The sequence below is a fragment of the Homo sapiens genome, chromosome 7 (assembly GCF_000001405.40).
Source record: "Homo sapiens chromosome 7, GRCh38.p14 Primary Assembly".
Taxonomy (NCBI): Eukaryota; Metazoa; Chordata; class Mammalia; order Primates; family Hominidae; genus Homo; species Homo sapiens.
This window is the reverse complement of record NC_000007.14, coordinates 37,946,729-37,952,728: the sequence shown is the minus strand read 5'-3', so window position 1 is coordinate 37,952,728 and position 6,000 is coordinate 37,946,729. Positions and strand designations below refer to the sequence as shown.

Below are 6,000 nucleotides of genomic sequence, written 5' to 3'. Positions count from 1 at the left end.
GCAGTGAAGAACCACAGAGGCAGGGCGCCATCAGATCAGATGTGACCAGATGTCAAATCCTTCTGGACTTTTTACTCCTTTCTGTGAAGTGGCTTAATAACCAAAACAGGCCAACTGAAAAACAAAAGGGTACCCACTTTGCATGGGCCTCCATAAAATAAAAGGAGTTTCCTTCTCTCTCTGAGTAAGGTTGTGGCCTGCAATGGGCAAAGACAAAGTCCCAGGGCTAAGGAGAGATGTGCAGCTTGGAGAGGAGAGGATCATTCTGTGGTTGGGGAGACAGGAAGTGTGGCAAACATGGTCACAAAGGCGTTAGCAGGCTGGGCCACCTAGAATGCAGCTGCGAAACTCTTCCCTGTCTGTGAGGTTCAGATGCCTGCATGGCCAAACTTCACAATCCTCTGCAACCCCAGGAACCTGCATGGGCACTGGAGGGAGCAGGTGCTTAGTACTGGCTTGTGATTTGGCTGACCAAGTGAATGAATGAATGAATGAATGAACACAGGATGGCTTCTAGAGAAAAAAGACGAGGGCAAGGACAGAGGGTGTGAAGATCCTGCAAAGGCCAATGATGTTAAGAGCCCAGAGCTGGGTGGTGGCTGAGGGAGTGGAGAAGAGGCAGAAGTTTTAAGAGCTATTTTGATAGGACTCGGGATATTGACTGCCAGTGAGGACTGAGGGAGACAAATGGATCAAGAATGACTTGGAAGCTTCTGGCCTTGGCAAATGGACACTGGAGTTTAGGGAAGGTAAGAGGGAGAGCAGGCTTTTGAGAGAGGATAACAAATTTGATTTTGATCACATGAAGCACTTTATTTATTACAGCATTGTTTTAACTCCCTTATAACCAAGATTATCCATATTTATTGCAAAAGCAACAGTATCAAAGAATGCTTTAAAATGCAATTAAATTTGTTTAATATAGATAAACTATAAGTAATGAGATTGTTTTCATTATAATATAGGTGTCACACATTTCTCCTGGTAACTAAGAAAGATAAATGGGCAGATAAAACATAACAGTAGAAGCATCTAGAATAGTAAATTTTATTACTGGAAGTCTCTCCCTAGCAATGGACAAACTCAACCACATTCAACACATAAGGAAACCAGGGACAAGAGAGGCTGGCATTCTTCACTCTACGAATACTTAGGGCACTGACTATGTGCCAGGCACTTGCTTTGTGCTAGGGATATAAAAGTAAACATACAAGGTACCCGTACCCAAGGAGCTCACAGCCAAGATAATGGATGAGTGTCCTGAAAGCAGAAATTATCACACAGCTTAATAATTATTGTGAGAAATGCATGCTCAAGATGCAAGGTGCAACTCATCCAGGCTTGGGAGCAACTCTTGTGAATGAGCTGACCTGGAAGGAGATGCAGAAGTCAGACAGAGAGGTTATGAAGCAGTGTTCTAGGAAGGCCAAAGTGCGGGCAAGCCCAGTGCATTTAATGACCAAAGGAGTGACAGTACGAGGGAACTCTAGTCCTGGGTTTAGGAGACAATAGTCTCCTGACTCCCTGTTCAGTGCTATTTTAGAATACTGCCTGTGTATTGACAAGTCTGTGAAGATTCAGCACATACATCAATACTCTTGCATAGAAAAAAAAGAAGCTTACATGGCTCGTGCTATGCCAGTGTAGACATTAGGATTCTCTAAACTGCCTTGCTCAAAATGTTTCTTTAGAGGAATAATTACTTCCTATTTTAGCTTTTCATTTCCTTCTAAATGTTTATATCAATTGGGCCATGCCATAAAATTCTTAAGTCTGGAAGGGATTTAAGTTATCATTTTTTTGGCAACCAAGGGAGTGCAGGGACAGGGTGGAGTAGGGCTCAGTGGGAGCAATGCCAACCCTGGTGCAGCAATAAAGGGGGCATTCTCTGCAGGGAATTTAAGAATTAATAATAAAATTGACCAAAATCACTCTGCTTTTTATTATCACTAATTCTGAATAATGTCAACAATAAATACTTGCTGCCAAGGCAAACTTCTCTTACTGACCCTTCCCTATGTGCATGGCACTGCATTATGTGTATACCCGTGCATGCAGAAAACCAGCCCTGAACAGGCATTAGAAATACCCAAAGTGTCCATATTAGCCATCTAGTCAGTTCATATGGCCACACCCTCGCCATTCAATTTTCTTCTGTAAACAGAGCTTGAGTAGTCAAAATCAGACACATCAAAACCCCACATCAATGTGCATCTTCCTAAAATTATATTTCTCTCCAATTAGCATTCACATCTTGACTAGTCTCATATCCATCTCCAGCTGGGGCCGCAGGGGGCTGACATCCGATGCTGCCGCTTCCCTATGCACAGGCTCACCAGGAGCAGTCTTCGCTCATCTTCTCCAGTTGGGCCATCTGGCACGTGCTTGGAGGGGTAAACACCGAGGGGTCTTTAATACCCAGCTGGATGTCAAAAAACCGCGTAGACAATATCACACTGTAGTTTATGGTAAAGGTTTCCTGGACAGGATAGCAATCCTTGACTGTATAGATGCCAATCCAGGTTTCATCTATAAGAGGAAAAAAGTTGACTTTTAAATAAAGAAGACAGGCAAGAAGTTCATATTTTTTCTTATGGTGGTAAAATGTACATAACATAAAATTTACCATTTTACCATTTTTAAGTGTTTGGTGGCCTTGAGTACATTCACATTTGTTGACCATCAGCACCATCCATCTCCAGAACTTTTTTCATCTTCCCAAACTGAAACTCTGTCTCCATTAAACACGAACTTCCCATTCCTCCTCTCCCAGCTCCTGGAACTCATCATTCGATTTTCTGTCTCTATGAATTTGACGACTCTACATACCTCATGTAAGTGGGATTGTACTGTATTTGTCATTTTCTGCCTGCATTGTTTCTCTTAACATTATGTCCTCAAGGTTTACTCAGGCTGTAGCATGTGCTGGTGTTTCCTTCCTTTTTAAGGCTGAATAATATTCTGTTGTATGACTATACCAGATTTTGTTTATCCATTTATCTGTTGATGAACATTTGGGTTTCCACCTTTTGGCAATTGTGAATAATGCTGCTGTGGACATGGGTGTACAAATATCTGTTTGAGTCTCTGCGTTCAATTCTTTGGGGCATATATATATATACAGAAGTGGAGTTGCTGGGTCATATGGCAGTCTTATCTTTAATTTTTTGAGAAATCACCATACTGTGTTCCACAGCATGAATGCCTGTGTGGTAAAAACTGTCTTGGGATAGGCGTATATCAGCAGCAGGGCAGAGAATGGCTTCACATAAAAGTAGGCTGGTTTGCACACTCAGCATGATGGGAGTAGATTTGACCCCTGCAACTTTAGGAAGTGGGGGAAAGAAAAGGAGGCACCCAATTCAAATGTGTGCCTTAGACAGATGCCTTCCATGTCACAGACCTCGGGACGACCATAAAATGTCAAAATCAAGGCTAAGTTCACAGGAGCCAAAGTGGCAGAGAGGTGCAGGTGGCACTAGAAGGCTGAGGTGTTTCAAATATGAAGCTTAGATCCCGTTGCCACATAGTGAGCAAAGTAACCTGCAGACCTAAGTGGAGGCTTTAAAAAATTTTTGATTAAGCGGATGTTTCCCTAAAAACTACCTTCCTTAAAGGACTTAAACCTTTTTCCCCATCATGCATGCTGAATACAATGCTTAGATTCTTTGAACCCTTACAGGATCTAGCTGACTTTCTGTCCGACCACTCCTGGACGGTGATCTGCTCCTGAGGCCCCCCGATGGAGTACTGGTCTTCAAAGGTGGAGTTTTGAGGAATGTCAAGAGGATCCCAGGGCTGTGTCAGGGTCATCTTTGAGCACTGCTTGGTGGCTTGGTCAATCTGAAACATCACTCCATCCTTATACAGCAAAATATATTCAAATAATCTGAAACACAGATGGAAAGAAGTAGTTTGGGACTTCATGTTACCATCCTCGTGCCTTTTAACAGCACAAACACCTTTGATAGATATTACTTTTAAAATAGAAAGAAATTACTAGCTAGGCAATCACTTAACGTTTATAAACACTAGGCACATGAAACAACCTGCATATGAAATAATTAGAATTCACAGGTCAGACCGAGCATGATGGCTCATCCCTGTAATCCCAGCACTTTGGGAGGCCGAGGATGGAGTACGTTTTGAGCCCAGGAGTTTGAGACCGGCCTGGGCAACATAGTGAGACCCCTGTCTCTAGAAAAAAAATTTTAAAAATTAGCCAGACATGGCAGTGCACAGCTGTAGTCCCAGCTACTTGGGAGGTTGAAGTAAGAGGATCACTTGAGCCTGGGAGTTCAAAGCTTCAGTGAGCCATGATCATGCCACCGCACTACATACAGCCTGGGTGAGATCCCGTCCACCATCAAAAAAAAAAAAAAAAAATTGAGGTCAAAAGTGTATATTCACTGGGCAAATTTTGACCAAGGACCTAGTATATGCCAGACCCTGTGCTTAGCATACAAACATGGGGAAGATATGGCTCCGGCTGAAGAGCTGGTTTGTGAACTTTTGTTTACCCACAGAGACACAGGAGGACTTGACTCTTGTGTGGTGCATTTTCTCTCACAGCACTCAGTCAAGGAATTATGGGGGTATACTGAACATAGGACAAGAACACACTGAGGACTGGATGGACCGAGTGCCTGTGCTTCACTGCCTCCACTGCCGAGCAGTCATGAGTAAGGGGCTTTGATGCGCATAGCTGATCCGGCACGGGCGCAGCCCACATACCCTGCAGTGGCTGAGATGAGAGCAAAGACAAAAGCTGAGGCGACCCCAGAGCAAATGACTCCCTTAGCTGAGTTTCTCTCCATGCTCTCAGCCTCCTCCCGTGACCACCTGCTCACCCTTCCTGGGGAGTGACAGGGAGATATTCAGAGGCTGAGCCCAGGAGTCACCAGCCATGCAGTATTGGCATCAGTCCTGTATCTTCCTTAAAGCTGAGACATCTTGGTGTTGGGGGAAGCCTGCTGTGTTTCTATGCATTTCACTGTCAATCTAAAACTCAGGCCACAGCTGCTGGTCAAGAAAATGTGTCTTGCAGCCATGACCTCAGAAAGTGAAATCTGCAACACTTGAGGGCTGAAGAGCCTAGAGAAGTGACTTGTCATCAGCAAATAAAAATAGCCAACAAATTATCTGTGGCTTATGAGACCCAATGCACTAGAGGAGACTTCAGGGAAGACATTTGCTCTCCAGCCCAAGCCCGAGCTTAAAAACTATTTTCTTCGGAAAAAAATGTTAGAAATGGTTACTGTCTTTATAGTCAAAACACAGTCGTGCGTCACTTCATGATAGGCTTATGTTCTGAGAAATGTGTCATTAGGCTATTTCATCACTGCACGAACATCATAGAGTGCAGTTACACAAATCTGGATGGTACAGCCTACTACACAACAGGGCTACACAGTATGGCCTACTGCTCCCAGGGTACAAACCTGTACTGCATGTGACTGCACTAAATACTGGAGGCAACTGTAACACAATGGTAAGCATTTATGTATCTAAACATAGAAAAGGTGCAGTAAAAATATGGGATAAAATATAAAAAATGGTACGCATGTATAGGGTACTTGCCATGAATGGAGCCTGCAGGACTCGAAGTTGCTCTGGGTAGGTGAGTGAGTGAGTGAGTGGTGACAGAATGTGAAGGCCTAGGACATTTCTATACACTTCTGTAGGCTTTATAAACATTGTACACTTAGGCTACACTAAATTTATAAAAACTATGTTCCTTTCTTCAATAATACATTAATTTTAGCTTCCTGTAACTTTTTAACTTTATATACATTTTGATTTTTTAAACTTTTTGACTCTTTTGTAGTAAGACAGCTTAAAACACAAATTGCACAGCTATACAAAAATATTTTCTTTATGTCCTTATTTGATATGCTTTTTTCTATTTTAAAATTTATTTTATTAAAAAAAAAACTTTGTGTTAAAAATTACAACACAAACACAGATATTAGCCAGGCCTACACAAGGTTAGGATCATAA

The 6,000-nt window shown here is 42.6% G+C and overlaps 1 protein-coding gene across 3 annotated transcripts in view, besides 2 other annotated features; it reads right to left on the bottom strand.

The window, feature by feature from the left end:
• Positions 1-792: 792 nt before the first annotated feature.
• EPDR1 (ependymin related 1) overlaps positions 793-6,000 on the bottom strand; it is a 31,297-nt gene continuing 26,089 nt past the window's right edge. For 2 of the 3 annotated variants that reach the window (NM_017549.5, NM_001242948.2), the window contains exons 2-3: positions 3,681-3,889; positions 793-2,529 (exon numbers count right to left, since the gene is read on the bottom strand). In NM_017549.5, coding sequence (NP_060019.2) covers positions 2,333-2,529; positions 3,681-3,889 — 406 coding nt within the window. In that variant the 3' untranslated portion in view covers positions 793-2,332. The remainder of the gene's footprint in view (positions 2,530-3,680; positions 3,890-6,000) is intronic. The other variant, NM_001242946.2, reaches the window with a different exon arrangement.
• Positions 4,229-4,748: an enhancer, noted in NCBI's record as "H3K27ac-H3K4me1 hESC enhancer chr7:37987583-37988102 (GRCh37/hg19 assembly coordinates)". NCBI's record gives its function as "activates a minimal SCP1, AML or CMV promoter by ChIP-STARR-seq in primed H9 embryonic stem cells {active_cell/tissue: H9 hESC(primed)}" and the evidence as "EXISTENCE:reporter gene assay evidence [ECO:0000049][PMID:30033119]".
• Positions 4,749-5,270: an enhancer, noted in NCBI's record as "H3K27ac-H3K4me1 hESC enhancer chr7:37987061-37987582 (GRCh37/hg19 assembly coordinates)". NCBI's record gives its function as "activates a minimal SCP1, AML or CMV promoter by ChIP-STARR-seq in primed H9 embryonic stem cells {active_cell/tissue: H9 hESC(primed)}" and the evidence as "EXISTENCE:reporter gene assay evidence [ECO:0000049][PMID:30033119]".